Source organism: Homo sapiens, chromosome 1, assembly GCF_000001405.40.
Source record: "Homo sapiens chromosome 1, GRCh38.p14 Primary Assembly".
Taxonomy (NCBI): Eukaryota; Metazoa; Chordata; class Mammalia; order Primates; family Hominidae; genus Homo; species Homo sapiens.
In genome coordinates, this window is record NC_000001.11 from 205,401,292 (window position 1) to 205,417,689 (window position 16,398).

At 44.2% G+C, this 16,398-nt stretch overlaps 1 protein-coding gene across 9 annotated transcripts in view, besides 1 other annotated feature; it reads right to left on the bottom strand.

Annotated features, from left to right (window-relative positions):
• The window catches only part of LEMD1 (LEM domain containing 1), a 68,589-nt gene that overhangs the window by 19,914 nt on the left and 32,277 nt on the right, over nucleotides 1–16,398 (bottom strand). For 5 of the 9 annotated variants that reach the window (NM_001199051.2, XM_011510163.3, NM_001199050.2 and 2 more), the window contains one exon: nucleotides 14,941–15,005. The exons of the other annotated variants lie outside the window; for them this stretch is intronic. In NM_001199051.2, the coding sequence (NP_001185980.1) occupies nucleotides 14,941–15,005 (65 nt within the window). The remainder of the gene's footprint in view (nucleotides 1–14,940; nucleotides 15,006–16,398) is intronic. 9 annotated transcript variants of the gene reach the window in all.
• Nucleotides 9,219–9,719: an enhancer, noted in NCBI's record as "H3K4me1 hESC enhancer chr1:205379638-205380138 (GRCh37/hg19 assembly coordinates)". NCBI's record gives its function as "activates a minimal SCP1, AML or CMV promoter by ChIP-STARR-seq in naive H9 embryonic stem cells {active_cell/tissue: H9 hESC(naive)}" and the evidence as "EXISTENCE:reporter gene assay evidence [ECO:0000049][PMID:30033119]".

Below are 16,398 nucleotides of genomic sequence, written 5' to 3' on the forward strand. Positions count from 1 at the left end.
AACTAGTTTACAGTCCTACCAAGAGTGTAAAAGTGTTCCTATTTCTCCACATCCTCTCCAGCACCTGTTGTTTTCTGACTTTTTAATGATTGCCATTCTAACTGCTGTGAGGTGGTATCTCATTGTGGTTTTGATTTGCATTTCTCTGATGGCCAGTGATGATGAGCATTTTTTCATGTGTCTTTTGGCTGCATAAATGTCTTCTTTTGAGAAGTGTCTGTTCATATCCTTTGCCCACTTTTTGATGGGGTTGTTTGTTTTTTTCTTGTAAATTTGTTTGAGTTCATTGTAGATTCTGGATATTAGCCCTTTGTCAGATGAGTAGGTTGCAAAAATTTTCTCCCATTTTGTAGGTTGCCTGTTCACTCTTTTGCTGTGGTAGTTTCTTTTGCTGTGCAGAAGCTCTTTAGTTTAATTAGATCCCATTTGTCAATTTTGGCTTTTGTTGCCATTGCTTTTGGTGTTTTAGACATGAAGTCCTTGCCCATGCCTATGTTCTGAATGGTAATGCCTAGGTTTTCTTCTAGGGTTTTTATGGTTTTAGGTCTAACGTTTAAGTCTTTAATCCATCTTGAATTAATTTTTGTATAATGTGTAAGGAAGGGATCCAGTTTCAGCTTTCTACATATGGCTAGCCAGTTTTCCCAGCACCATTTATTAAATGGGGAATCCTTTCCCCATTGCTTGTTTTTCTCAGGTTTGTCAAAGATCAGATAGTTGTAGATATGCGGCGTTATTTCTGAGGGCTCTGTTCTGTTCCATTGATCTATATCTCTGTTTTGGTACCAGTATCATGCTGTTTTGGTTACTGTAGCCTTGTAGTATAGTTTGAAGTCGGGTAGCGTGATGCCTTCAGCTTTGTTCTTTTGGCTTAGGATTGACTTGGCGATGCAGGCTCTTTTTTGGTTCCATATGAACTTTAAAGCAGTTTTTTCCAATTCTGTGAAGAAAGTCATTGGTAGCTTGATGGGGATGGCATTGAATCTATAAATTACCTTGAGCAGTATGGCCATTTTCACGATATTGATTCTTCCTACCCATGAGCATGGAATGTTCTTCCATTTGTTTGTATCCTCTTTTATTTCATTGAGCAGTGATTTGTAGTTCTCCTTGAAGAGGTCCTTCACATCCCTTGTAAGTTGGATTCCTAGGTATTTTATTCTCTTTGAAGCAATTGTGAATGGGAGTTCATTCATGATTTGGCTCTCTGTCTGTTATTGGTGTATAAGAATGCTTGTGATTTTTGTATATTGATTTAGTGTCCTGAGACTTTGCTGAAGTTGCTTATCAGCTTAAGGAGATTTTTGGGCTGAGACAATGGGGTGTTCTAGATATACAACCATGTCGTCTGCAAACAGGGACAATTTGACTTCCTCTTTTCCTAATTGAATACCCTTTATTTCCTTCTCCTGCCTAATTGCCCTGGCCAGAACTTCCAACACTATGTTGAATAGGAGTGGTGAGAGAGGGCATCCCTGTCTTGTGCCAGTTTTCAAAGGGAATGCTTCCAGTTTTTGCCCATTCAGTATGATATTGGCTGTGGGTTTGTCATAGATAGCTCTTATTATTTTGAGATACATCCCATCAATACCTAATTTATTGAAAGTTTTTAGCATGAAGGGTTGTTGAATTTTGTCAAAGGCCTTTTCTGCATCTATTGAGATAATCATGTGGTTTTTGTCTTTGGTTCTGTTTATATGCTGGATTACATTTATTGATTTGCGTATATTGAACCAGCCTTGCAACCCAGGGATGAAGCCCACTTGATCATGGTGGATAAGCTTTTTGATGTGCTGCTGGATTCGGTGTGCCAATATTTTATTGAGGATTTTTGCATCAATGTTCATCAAGGATATTGGTCTAAAATTCTCTTTTTTGGTTGTGTCTCTGCCCGGCTTTGGTATCAGGATGGTACTGGCCTCATAAAATGAGTTAGGGAGGATTCCCTCTTTTTCTATTGATTGGAATAGTTTCAGAAGGAATGGTACCAGTTCCTCCTTGTACCTCTGGTAGAATTTGGCTGTGAATCCATCTGGTCCTGGACTCTTTTTGGTTGGTAAGCTATTGATTATTGCCACAATTTCAGAGCCTGTTATTGGTCCATTCAGAGATTCAACTTCTTCCTGGTTTAGTCTTGGGAGAGTGTATGTGTCGAGGAATTTATCCATTTCTTCTAGATTTTCTAGTTTATTTGCATAGAGGTGTTTGTAGTATTCTGTGATGGTAGTTTGTATTTCTGTGGGATCGGTGGTGATATCCCCTTTATCATTTTTTATTGCATCTATTTGATTCTTCTCTCTTTTTTTCTTTATTAGTCTTGCTAGCGGTCTATCAATTTTGTTGATCCTTTCAAAGAACCAGCTCCTGGATTCATTAATTTTTTGAAAGGCTTTTTTTGTCTCTATTTCCTTCAGTTCTGCTCTGATTTTAGTTATTTCTTGCCTTCTGCTAGCTTTTGAATGTGTTTGCTCTTGCTTTTTGAGTTCTTTTAATTGTGATGTTAGGGTGTCAATTTTGGATCTTTCCTGCTTTCTCTTGTGGGCATTTAGTGCTATAAATTTCCCTCTACACACTGCTTTGAATGTGTCCCAGAGATTCTGGTATGTTGTGTCTTTGTTCTCGTTGGTTTCAAAGAACATCTTTATTTCTGCCTTCATTTTGTTATGTACCCAGTAGTCATTCAGGAGCAGGTTGTTCAGTTTCCATGTAGTTGAGTGGTTTTGAGTGGGTTTCTTAATCCTGAGTTCTAGTTTGATTGCATTGTGGTCTGAGAGACAGTTTGTTATAATTTCTGTTCTTTTACATTTGCTGAGGAGAGCTTTACTTCCAGCTATGTGGTCAATTTTGAAATAGGTGTGGTGTGGTGCTGAAAAAAATGTATATTCTGTTGATGTGGGGTGGAGAGTTCTATAGATGTCTATTAGGTCTGCTTGGTGCAGAGCTGAGTTCAATTCCTGGGTATCCTTGTTAACTTTCTGTCTCGTTGATCTGTCTAATGTTGACAGTGGGGTGTTAAAGTCTCCCATTATTATTGTGTGGGAGTCTAAGTCTCTTTGTAGGTCACTCAGGACTTGCTTTATGAATCTGGGTGCTCCTGTATTGGGTGCATATATATTTAGGAAAGTTAGCTCTTCTTGTTGAATTGATCCCTTTACCATTATGTAATGGCCTTCTTTGTCTCTTTTGATCTTTGTTGGTTTAAAGTCTGTTTTTCAGATACTAGGATTGCAACCCCTGCCTTTTTTTGTTTTCCATTTGCTTGGTAGATCTTCCTCCATCCTTTTATTTTGAGCCTATGTGTGTCTCTGCACGTGAGATGGGTTTCCTGAACACAGCACACTGATGGCTCTTGACTCTTTATCCAATTTGCTAGTCTGTGTCTTTTAATTGGAGCATTTAGTCCATTTACATTTAAAGTTAATATTGTTATGTGTGAATTTGATCCTGTCATTATGATGCTAGCTGGTTATTTTGCTCGTTAGTTGATGCAGTTTCTTCCTAGTCTCGATGGTCTTTACATTTTGGCATGATTTTGCAGTGGCTGGTACTGGTTGTGCCTTTCCATGTTTAGTGCTTCCTTCAGGAGCTCTTTTAGGGCAGGCCTGGTGGTGACAAAATCTCTCAGCATTTGCTTGTCGGTAAAGTATTTTATTTCTCCTTCACTTATGAAACTTAGTTTGGCTGGATATGAAATTCTGGGTTGAAAATTCTTTTCTTTAAGAATGTTGAATATTGGCCCCCACTCTCTTCTGGCTTGTAAGAGTTTCTGCTGAGAGATCCGCTGTTAGTCTGATGGGCTTCCCTTTGTGGGTAACCCGACTTTTCTCTCTGGCTGCCCTTAACATTTTTTCCTTCATTTCAACTTTGGCGAATCTGACAATTATGTGTCTTGGAGTTGCTCTTCTCGAGGAGTATCTTTGTGGCGTTCTCTGTATTTCCTGAATCTGAATGTTGGCCTGCCTTGCTAGATTGGGGAAGTTCTCCTGGATAATATCCTGCAGAGTATTTTCCAACTTGGTTCCATTCTCCCCGTCACTTTCAGGTACACCAATCAGACACAGATTTGGTCTTTTCACATAGTCCCATATTTCTTGGAGGCTTTGTTCGTTTCTTTTTATTCTTTTTTCTCTAAACTTCCCTTCTCGCTTCATTTCATTCATTCATCTTCCATCACTGATACACTTTCTTCCAGTTGATCGCATCGGCTCCTGAGGCTTCTGCATTCTTCAAGTAGTTCTTGAGCCTTGGCTTTCAGCTCCATCAGCTCCTTTAAGCACTTCTCTGTATTGGTTATTCTAGTTATACATTCATCTAAATTTTTTTCAAAGTTTTCAACTTCTTTGCCTTTGGTTTGAATTTCCTCCTGTAGCTCGGAGTAGTTTGATCGTCTGAAGCCTTCTTCTCTCAACTTGTCAAAGTCATTCTCCATCCAGCTTTGTTCCGTTGTTGGTGAGGAACTGCGTTCCTTTGGAGGAGGAGAGGCGCTCTGCTTTTTAGAGTTTCCAGTTTTTCTGCTCTGTTTTTTTCCCCATCTTTGTGGTTTTATCTACTTTTGGTCTTTGATGATGGTGATGTACAGATGGGTTTTTGGTGTGGATGTCCTTTCTGTTTGTTAGTTTTCCTTCTAACAGACAGGAACCTCAGCTGCAGGTCTGTTGGAGTTTGCTAGAGGTCCACTCCAGACCCCGTTTGCCTGGGTATCAGCAGCGGTGTCTGCAGAACCGCGGATTTTCGTGATCCACGAATGCTGCTGTCTGATCGTTCCTCTGGAAGTTTTGTCTCAGAGGAGTACCCGGCTGTGTGAGGTGTCAGTCTGCCCCTACTGGGGGGTGCCTCCCAGTTAGGCTGCTCGGGGGTCAGGGGTCAGGGACCCACTTGAGGAGGCAGTCTGCCCATTCTCAGATCTCCAGCTGCGTACTGGGAGAACCACTGCTCTCCTCAAAGCTGTCAGACAGGGACATTTAAGTCTGCAAAGGTTACTGCTGTCTTTTTGTTTGTCTGTGCCCTGCCCCCAGAGGTGGAGCCTACAGAGGCAGGCAGGCCTCCTTGAGCTGTGGTGGGCTCCACCCAGTTCGAGCTTCCTGGCTGCTTTGTTTACCTAAGCGAGCCTGGGCAATGGCGGGCGCCCCTCCCCCAGCCTGGCTGCCGCCTTGCAGTTTGATCTCAGACTGCTGTGCTAGCAATCAGCGAGACTCTGTGGGCGTAGGACCCTCACATCCAGGTGTGGGATATAATCTCCTGGTGCACCGTTTCCTAAGCCTGTCGGAAAAGCGCAGTATTCGAGTGGGAGTGGCCCGATTTTCCAGGTGCCATCTGTCACCCCTTTCCTTGACCAGGAAAGGGAACTCCCTGACCCCTTGTGCTTCCAGAGTGAGGCAATGCCTCACCCTGCTTTGGCTCGCACATGGTGCGCTGCACCCACTGTCCTGCGCCCACTGTCTGACACTCCCCAGTGAGATGAACCTGGTACCTCAGATGGAAATGCCGAAATCACAGCGTCTTCTGTGTCGCTCACGCTGGGAGCTGTAGACAGGAGCTGTTCCTATTTGGCCATCTTGGCTCCTCCCCCCAATATTTTTGTCTTATTCCTAGGTTCCTGACACAAGAACTTCTAAGGACCCTTGGAATCTCTGGAGCTACAAGAGTTATCTTTTTGTATGCTAATGAGTTGGCTGGTGCCCAAAGACCCTTAGACAGCTTCAAAATGGGGTCTGGTCGTCAGAAAGGCCAACCATGTGATAAGAAGATTTGAACTTGGGACTGGGCACGGTGGCTTAGACCTGTAATCCCAGCACTTTGAGAGCCTGAGGCGGGTGGATCACGAGGTCAGGAGTTCAAGACCAGCCTAGCCAACATGATGAAACCCTGTTTTTACTAAAAATATAAAAATTAGCCAGGTGTGGCAGCACGTGCCTGTAATCCCAGCTACTTGGGAGGCTGAGGCAGGAGAACTGGTTGAACCTGGGAGGGGGAGGTTGCAGTAAGCTGAAATCGCACCATTGCACTCCAGCCTGGGCAACACAGAAAGACCCCATCTCAAAAAAAAAAAAAAAAAAAAGGATTTGAACTTGGAGCCCCACCCCCTGACCTCCAGGTAGAGGAGGGGAGCTGAAGGTTGAATTAATCACTGATAGCCAATGATTCAGTCAATCATGCGTAAGTAACAGAACCTCCATAAAACTCCTAAAAGACAGAGTTTAGAGAGTTTCTGAGTTGGTGAACGCATTAAGGTACTTAGAGGGCAGCGCGCCCAGAGAAAGCATGGAAACTCTGCGTCTCTTGCCCTAGACCTTGCCCCCTGCATCTCTCCCATTGGCTGTTTCTGAGCTGTATCCTTTAAAATACACTGGTAAGGAAAGAGCACTCCTGAGTTCTGCAAGCTGTTCTAGCAAGTTAGCAAATCCAAGGTGTTGTGGGAACCCTTGATTTTTAGTGAGTCAGTTAGAAGTATGGGAGACCCAGGACTTGAGATTGGCATTTTAAGTCGGGGGCTGGACTGAGCCCCTTAACCTGTGGGATCTGACGCTAACTCCAGGTCTATAGTGTCAGAATTCTACTGAATTGTTGGATACCTGGCTGGTGTCTGGAGAGTTGGAGAACTGGTTGGCATGAGGAAAAAAACCCACACATTTGGCATCACAAGTGTTTTGTGGGTAGAGATAGTTCCTAGTAACCCTACAGAATGAATGGCCTGTACTCTTGAAAACTGTCAAGGGCAGGAATGACAGGGAAAGACTGAGGCACCGTGGCTCCAGATCGAAGGAGAAGGAAGAGATGACAACTAAAGAGAGCGTGTGTTCCTGGAGTGGTTGTGGATGAGAAAGCAAAAAGACATCGTTGGGACAGTTGGTGAAACTTGCATGGGGTCTGAGTACTGGTTGGAAGCAATGAATCAGCGTGGATTTCCTTATCTGGAGGATCATATGGTGGTTATGTAGGAGAGTGTCCTTTGGTAGGCAGAATACTTACTGGGGAGCCCAGGGGCTTCATGTCTGCAATTTGCTCTCAAATCATTCAGAAAGAGACAATGGTAGGGTACACACACACACACACACACACTCCTCAAATGTGGTACCAGGTACCAACTGAGGAACTGGAGTGGAAGGAATGTGGGAGGTGTTTGTACTATCCTTGCAAGTTTCTGTAAGTTTGAAAATATTTCGAGAGGTGTGGAAAAAGATTTAATAACTTTTTCTTTCTTTCTTTCTTTCTTTTTTTTTTTTTTTTGAGACAGGATCTCACTCTGTCACCCAAGCTGGAGTGCATTGGTGCCATCACGGCTCACTGCAGCCTCGACCTGGGCTCAAGCCATCCTTTCACCTTGGCCTCCCAAGTAGCTGGGACCACAGGTGCACACCACCATGCCCAGCTAATTTTTTTGCAATTATTGTAGAGATGGGGTTTTGCCATGTTGCCCAGGCTAGTCTCGAACTCCTGGGCTCAAGTGATCCTCCCTCCTTGACCTCCCAAAGTGCTGAGATTAAAGAAGCGAGCCATCAAGCTCAGCTAAATTTAAGTATAAGATTAAGAAGGAGTCCCAAATACCGGAAGGGCACATGTGACTTAAACAAACAACAACAACAAAAAACAAGGCCTCTGTGACCCAGGCAGGAGTGCAAGTGGCATGATCTGAGATCCTGGGCTCAGGTGATCCTCCCACCTCAGCCTGTCAAGTAGCTGAGACCACAGGTGTGCACCACCACACCGGGCTAATTTTTTGTGTTTTTAGTAGAGACAGGGTTTCACCGTGTTGCCCAGGCTGATCTTGAACTCCCGGGCTCAAGCAATCCACCCACCTCAGCCTCTCAAAGTGCTGGGATTACAGGCATAAGCCACCAAGCCTGGCCGGCATATTATTGTTTTTTAAAGTTCAGTCTGCCTCATTCAACACGCAGGGCTTACAGAAAGTAATCTTTAATTGTATCTGTATATTTACTTCTATAAATATATCTGTAGGCTCTCGATAAATCACATTCTGCAGCACTTAAAAGTTCAATACTAAACATTCATTTTCCATTATGTTATTTTTCACTAAGTATGTTGTGTTGTACTACAGGTAATTAAATATCATGCTTTTCATGTAACAATAATGTTAATGATAATAATAGCTCTTATTTGTACTTGCCTCTTATTACATATACATATACTACCCTGCTTTGCATATTTTAACTCAATCTTCACAACACTCTGTGAGGTTGATACTGTTCTTAACCTTATTTATAGATGAGGAAACTAAGACATAGAGAGGTTGAGTGTCTTGTCCAAGTTAGTAGTAGAGCTGAGATTTGAACCCAGGCAGTCTGGCTCTACAGTCTTTTTTTTTTTTTAAGAGAAGGCCTCACTCTGTTGCCCAGGCTGGAGTACAGTGGCATGAACTTGGCTCACTGCAGCCTCAACCTCCTAAGCTCAAGCAATCCTCCTGCCTCAGCCTCCTGAGTAGCTTGGGACCACAAGCATGCGTGCCACTATGCCCAGTTAATTAATTTTTTTTTTTTTTTGAGACAGAGTTTTGCGCTTGTTGCCCAGGCTGGAGGGCAATGGCACTATCTCAGCTCACTGCAACCTCCACCTCCTGGGTTCAAGTGATTCTCCTGCCTCAGCCTCTGGAGTATCTGGGATTACAGGCATGCACCACCACGCCCAGCTAATTTTTTTGTATTTTTAGTAGAGATGGAGTTTCACCATGTTGGCCATGGTTGGTCTTGAACTCCTGACCTCAGGTGATCTACCCACCTCGGCCTCCCAAAGTGCTGGGATTACAGGCGTGAGCCACCGTGCCCAGCCCCCAGTTAATTTATTTTTATTTTTCTTGTAGAGATGGGTTCTTGTCATGTTGCCCAAACTGGTCTTGCACTCCTGGGCTCAAGTGATCCTCCTGCCTCAGCCTCCCAAAGTGCCAATATTACAAGCATGAGCCACCACACCTGGCAGAATCCATATTTTTGATACCCATATTCTTTGTTTCCAGAGCTCATTTTCAAGTTTCTTCATGATAGGATCTATGCCTTTTTCTGCACTTATATTCTTCCTCAAGAAAATCTAGCACAATGTCCTGTATTCAATAAATAGTTATTGACTCACAGGCTGAGATCCAGGGGTGGAAACTCTGTTGCAACCATTCCCTGAATGGTCATCCATTCACAATGATCTAAGCATCATCTCTCAAGAGACTACATCAAGGTACATCTAAGAGACAACGTATATGGTACAGAATAGGAAGTCAGAAAGAGAAAGATCATCAACATCAGTAGAGGAAAGCTCCTTTCAGTTCAGCCAACAGGGACTGAGTAAGTCCCTGCCCCACCCCCAAATGCCTGGCATGGAATTCAATGCAGAGGAGTCAAATTATGGGTTTTCACCTTCAACATTTTACAGCCTGCGGCAAAAACTCCTGGGCAGGGGTGGGGTGGAGACTGAATGAAAAAGTAGCGAGGCATGGTGCCCCGTGCCTGTAGTCCCAGCTACTTGGGAGGCTGAGGCCAGAGGTTAACTTGAGCTCAAGGAGGTCAAGGCTGCAGTGAATTATGATGATGCCACTGCACTCCAGCCTGGGCAACAGAATGAGTCTCCGTGAGAAAGGAAAGAAAGAAAAGAAAAGAAAGCAAAGGAAGGAAGGAAGGAAGGACAGGAAAGAAAAGAGAAAGAAAGGAAGGGAAAGGAAGAAATAGAGAAAGAAAGAAGGAAAGAAAGGAAGGAAGGAAAGAAAAGAAAAGGAGGGAGGGAGAGAGGAAGGAAGGAAGGGAAAGAAGGAAGGAAGGCAGGAAGGGAGAGAGGGAAAGAAAGAAATGAAGGAAAAAGAAGAAAGAAAAAAGAAAGAAAGGAAGGAGGGAGGGAGGGAAAGAAAGGAAGGAAGGAAAAAGAAAGAAGAAAGAGAGAGAGAAAGAAGGAAAGAAGGAAAGGAAGGAAGGAAGGAAGAAAGAAAGAAAGGAAGGAAGGAGGGAGGGAGGGAAAGGAAGGAAGGAAGGAAGGAAAAAGAAAGAAGAAAGAAAGAGAGGGCCAGGCGCAGTGGCTCACGCCTGTAATCCCAGCACTTTGGGAGGCCGAGGCGGGCGGATCACGAGGTCAGGAGATCAAGACCACGATGAAACCCCTTCTCTACTAAAAATACAAAAATTTAGCCGGGCGTGGTGGCGGGCGCATGTAGTCCCAGCTACCCGGAGAGGCAGAGGCAGGAGAATGGCGTGAACCCGGGAGGCGGAGCTTGCAGTGAGCCAAGATTGTGCCACTGCACTCCAGCCTAGGCCACAGAGTGAGACTCCGTCTCAAAAAAAAAAAAAAGAAAGAAGGAGAGAGGAAAGGAAGGAAGGAAGGTAGGAAGGAAAGAAGGAAAGAAGGAAGGAAGGAAGGAAAAGAGAAAGAAAGGAAAGAAAGAAAGAAAGAAAAGAAAGAAAGAAAGAAAGAAAGAAAAAGGAAGAAAGAAAGAAAGAGAAAGAAAGAAAAGAAAAGAAAGACTGATTCTTGGGCCCAGACCCACAGAATGTGCAGGATGGGTGGGAAGATGAGAAGAGAGCATGCAGGCTGGGAGAACAGAGTAAACTGAGATTCTGGCAGGGACGAGCATGTTGTGCTTGGGAGAGGGTAAAGAAACACCCAGGTGGCCCAGGAGGGCTCAGAAGTACACACCTCCCAGGGCCAGCTGCCCTCTGGTTGTTGGATGCAGCAGCCCTCTGAAGATGGGACACAGATATAAACACTTCCAACCTTGGAACCGCTCCCAAACCCAGGACCATTTGCCCCTATTTGCCCAAGATAGTCCCAGTTTACTCCTATTGTTCCAGCATCCCTTCAGGTTAGTGTCCTTTTTCAAAAGCATACTGGTCAGGATGATAAATTATACGGCCACCTTACTCAAAGCCCATTTTATGTAGCTTGACATTGTAGATTACTCTGCCTCCCTACCAATCAACCCCAAATCCCATTTTCCCGTTTGGTAGAAGGGCACTTAGAGACTGAGTTACACATACTGACTTAATGTCCCACTCCGTTATTGGTAACATAAGCTGTGCCTAGTGTCTTTCTGATGGAAAAAATCCCCAATTAAAAAAAAAAATTTGACCTGGCTTAATGAGTGTTTTTAACGACCAAATCCAATGGGCTGCATATGTGATTTGATAAAGCAGACACATACAGTGTTAAAAAGAGTCCAGAAACTGCATATTCCATATCTCTAAGTGGCTTGCATTCCACTAGAAAACAACTAAAAATGAGAGGAAAATGTGGTATTTCAAAGAAATGCAAATACTACCTATCTAGGCACTCAGAAGACTGTTAGGTACAAACAAATGCTCTTAAGTAATTAAAGTCTACAGTGTTAGACAAGTGTCTCAATAAATACACCTTCTACCACCTTTTACATGGAAATGTGAATGCTTATTTACATTTCCTTTCAGATTTAAGGATGAACAGATGTCTTGAGGCCCTTCTGAGAATGAAAATGGCTTATATAAATCCTTCAAATCAAAACATTTTATGCCATCGCAAACTTCCTATTTAATTCTATTGCCAATTCAAAATATCGATGTGGTTTTATTTCAGGTTTATGTAAAGTGGAGACCGAAGGCCACTGGTCCTAGCTGATGCATTTGCCATACTCAGGTTGCTTTTTCTGCTGCAGCATCTTTGCAGGAACTATATTAAAGGGTTTTCTGCAGAACTGAGGTTTACCGAATGGAAAGGATTCCTTTAATGAGCTATTTGGAAGTTAAAATATACTTTTAGAAATTTTGGTATGATATCAGAATTACTTCATCAAATTTGAACTATGTTTAAACGGGAAGCTGAAGCTATAGCATACATGGCAATGTTTACTTGAAGATTTCTTTTCATTTGTTTAAACTTAGCAACTAGTTTAAATACCAGACCATATTTGCAAACTAACCTTTTTGCCATTGGAGCTGTTTGGTAGATTTGGTGAGGTGAGCTTTGAACTCCTACTATGTGCAAGACCCTGTGATAGCTACTAAATGAGGATAAAATATCATTTTATTTTTTATTTTAATTTTTATTATTTTTTTGAGACAGGGTCTCGCTCTGTCACCCAGGCTAGAGTGCAGTGGTGTCATCATGGCTTACTGCAGCCTCGACATCCCAAGCCTCAAGAGATTCTCCTACCTCAGCCTCCTGAGTAGCTGGGACCACAGGTGCGCATCACCATGTACAGTTAATTTTTACAATTTTTGTAGAGATGAGGTGTCACCATCTTTCCCAGGCTGGTCTCAAACTCCTGGGCTCAAGCCAGCCTCCTACCTCAGCCTCCTGAATAGCTGGGATGACATGTGCGTGTCACCATGCCCAACTTTTTTTTTTTTTTTTTTTTTTTTTTGGAGATATGAGGTGTTGCTATGTTGCCCAGGATAAAATGCCATTTTTTTTTTTTTTGAGAGTCTCCTCTCACTCTGTCACCCAAGCTGGAGTGTAGCTGCACAATCTCGGCTCATTGCAACCTCTGCCTCCCGAGTTCAAGTGATTCTTGTGCCTTAGCCTCCTGAGTAGCTGGGACAACAGACACATGCCACCATGCCCAGATAATTTTTTGTATTTTTAGTAGAGACAGGGTTTCGCCATGTTAGCCAGACTGGTCTCGAACTCCTGGCCTCAAGTGATCCACCCATCTTAATGCCATTTTAAAAGGACTCACAGAAGTGGCCATTGAGATATTCCTTAAAAGATCACAGGGTTTTAACAGGAAGAAAAATGTGGTAGGGGGTGAGAAGAGTGAAAAGAATTTCAGGCATAAAGAACAGTTGAAGTAATGGTTCATGGGAAGACAGTGTGAGAGGTGCAGAAACAAGGTAAGAATTTGTTGGGTTGGATGATGAGGGAGATGAGGTTACAGGAGATACTGGAGTTGACTCATGGTGTATAGCAAGTTTGCATCTTGTTTTGAAAGTCTCTGGACAAGTCAGTAACATGATTAAATCTCTGCTTGTAGATCTGAACTGGAATTGGGAAAAGTTAGAGGCAAACACAGGAGGATTTTGCAATTGTTCAAATAAAATAATAATATGGAGGCCGGGCAAGGTGGCTGATGCCTGTAATCCCAGTGCTTTGAGAGGCCAAGGCAAGAGGATCACTCGAGGCCAAGAGTTCGAGACCAGCCTGGGCGACAGCGTGAGACCCCTGTCTCTACAAAAAAAAAAAAAGTTTTTTTTGAGATGGGGTCTCATGCTATTGCCCAGGCTGGAGTGTAGTGGTGTGATCATGGCTCACTGCAGCCTCAACCTCCCAGGCTCAAGCAGTCCTCCCACCTCAGCCCCCCAAGTAGCTGGGATCACAGGTGTGCACCACCACACCCAGCCAGTTTTTTTATTTTGTAGAGACATGGTCTCCCTAGGTTGCCCAGGCTGAGTCTTGAACTCTTGAGCTCAGGCAATCCTTCCACCTTGGCCTCCTAAAGTGCTGGGATTACAGGAGTAAGCCACCATGCCCGGCCAGAATTGTTTTTCAGTTACCCAGGTGTGGTGGAGTGTACCTGTAGTCCTAGCTACTTGGGAGGCTGAGGGAGGAGTATTGCTTGAGCCCAGGAGTTCGAGATTACAGTGAGATATCATGGTGCCACTGCACTCCAGCCTGGGTAACAGAATGAGACCCTGTCTCTAAAATAAATAAATAAGTAATGTGGGTGCAAGCTAGGATAGCAGCAGGGGGAAGAGACAGAAGGGATGGATTTTTTAACATCATTCAGATCCCTAAGACTTGGCAGCTCTTTGTATGTGAAGAGCTGCAGGGAGGGGGCAGTCCAGTAACTCCAAGGCTTTGAGCCTGGACAGTGGGGAGGTTGTGGAAACATCAGGATAAACCCAGGCCGCAGATGCAGGTTTAGGGTGGGCTGAAATGTGCATGGTCATTCCTGGACACCTGAGCCTGAGGTACAGGGGGATAACCATGGGGAGAAGCATGAACACGTCTGTGTAACCCACAAAATGTTCATGAAGTTAGGTAACCATTTGTCAAATGAATGCAGGAAGAAGCGAGGAAGGAAGGGAAAGAGAAGGAAAAGGGAGGCACTTCCCAGTAGGCAGTTGGATATGCAGACCTGTGCCTCAGGAGAGAAGCGTGTGTGGGGACGCCGCAAAGAGGGGGTGAGGGAATCACACTGAGCAGAGGCTGAAGGAGGAGGTCTCAGGCACAGGCACATCAGGGGCCAAGAGGAAGACAAAAAGTCAGAATAGAAACAGAGATACAGAACCAAGAACCAAAGAGTGGCAGAATTCTGAAATCTAAGAAGGCAGGCATCTCCAAATAAAAATGGTCAGAGGTCAAAAGACAGAAAAAGTCACTAGAGTTGGCACCTTGGAGTTCATTATTAAGCACTAGTTATGGGCTGTGTTTGATGCTCAGAGATTTTCCTGCCTTTAACTTCGCATCCACCCTGTGAGGTAGGCACTGCTGTTAAACTGTGCTAGGAGGCTTAGATCTGTTCACTGACTTCCCCAAAATCACGCTTCCAGGAAGCTGAGGGCAGAAATCCTAAGCCAGTTAGGCCTCACCCCAAAACCTGTAACCCTCACACATTTGGCCGTGTGCTTCAATACGGTGCTGGGGGTAGAAGCCAGATGTTAGGGGCTAGAAAAGCGAACGGGATGGAAACTCACATTTATTCTATGTTCACTGTGGGCCCAGAACCAAGCTAAGTGCTATATGTGAATGTAGACAACAGATAGTGAAAATGGGGAGGGGGCGTGACAGCTGGGGAAAGCAGAGTGGTGGCTTTTTTAAGAAGGGGCAGGAGGGACCCTGTCATTCTGGGTCCTCTGCTAGATCATGGAAATTTTTTCATCATACAGAAATCTGCATTAAAATGATCCTCTTTAAACTAGGATTTTACCACTATAACAGAATGTAGTGACTTGCTATCCCCTTTCTTAATACAGATGAACAGAGCTACTCCCTGTTTTTAATATATGGGTATAAGTATTCAGGCATTAGAATGGTACATACTTTTTTGAGTTTCTTGCTTTTTTCTGTTGAGAGTATGATATTTCCTTGCAAAATGATATTAAGCTCTGGATCATGGGAAACAAAAGGAAAATAGGCCATGAGAACATTTGAGCTAGCAAAGGGAATAAACATCAATCACCAGGGTGAATTCTCTCAATTAGAGGACATTTTTGCAAGGGGATGAAAATTCACGTGGCTCTTCTGACGGAAGAGAACATTTCTCCTGAGCTGGAGCAGCCTTTGTGAAACAGACTTAGGCCTTCCTCTGGGAATAAGGCCTGTCATATTTGCATGCCTCCAAGAGAAATACACAAGCTGGCTGCCCATCTGGGCAGCTGTTTGCAGTCTAGTCATTGTCCCTTTGAACCAGCTGTAAGCCCCATGCATCCCTGAATGCCAAGATAGGAAGGGAGGATTTTCTCCTTCTGGATCCAAAAAGGCACCCAGGGAAGGCAAGGCCAGACCTGTGCTAAAAGCCTTTAAAATTGGGGGAACTGCTAGGGACGGAAAAGGATGTTGTTAATTAGCCTGCAAAGAAGCATTTTGATAAACCTAGAGGAATGGTGGAGTTGCACATCCATTTTAAATGAGCTCTCCAAGTCAAAAATATTTGGAAAGTTTGAAAGCAGTTAGATAATTAAAGCTGTGTCTCCCCACTGACAAGACAGTCAGTTAGTGAAAATGAGAAAAATCAAACCCACTGATTGTTTGGATGACCTCATACTCAGCCTCAGGTCTAGGACTCCCTGCACCTCCACCGCCACTACAAGCCCATTCCAGGACTAGGTGTTTCCATGAAAGGAGAAGGCTAAGTCCACAGGATACCCCCGTCCAGTTCATTACAACTCCTCCACTCTAATGGTACCAGTGGCTATGAGACTTTTCCAATGAGCAAATTCAAATGTATGGTTCAAACCTAACTTGGAGAACCAGGTTTGCTACTTGTGGCAACCACAGAATTGCATTACAAGGGTAGGACTGAATCAACGCTTCCACCTCGACCTGATGGCCCGTAGTTGGCTTAGATCAGGTAGGCACTATCTAAAGCAGTGGCAAACCTTATAAACAGAAGGACCAATTTTCTCCTAGCCCTAGCATCAACGCACTTCTGTAGAGGGCTACATGCTGGGACCCAGGACGGCGGGGACTGAGACCACAACAGCTTGGTTTTGTAGCTTTAACCCGAAGTCCTGGGAAGTCGTGAACAGTTCTGAAATCTTCAACCTGGCATTGCTTTTCACCAGAGTGTTGGTTTGGTCTCTTGAGCCCCTCCCCAGGGCAGGAAACAGAAGCAGGCTTGGATCTGGGACAGGACTCTGAACACAATCTACAACCAGGAGAGGCCTGGGGTAGCCACTTTCCCTGAGGCACCCCCGTGCTAACTGCCTGCTCAAGGGCCAGTGAAGTTTATCCCTAAACCTTGCCATCCTTTTCAAGTGAGGCCAGCGGTGCAAAACC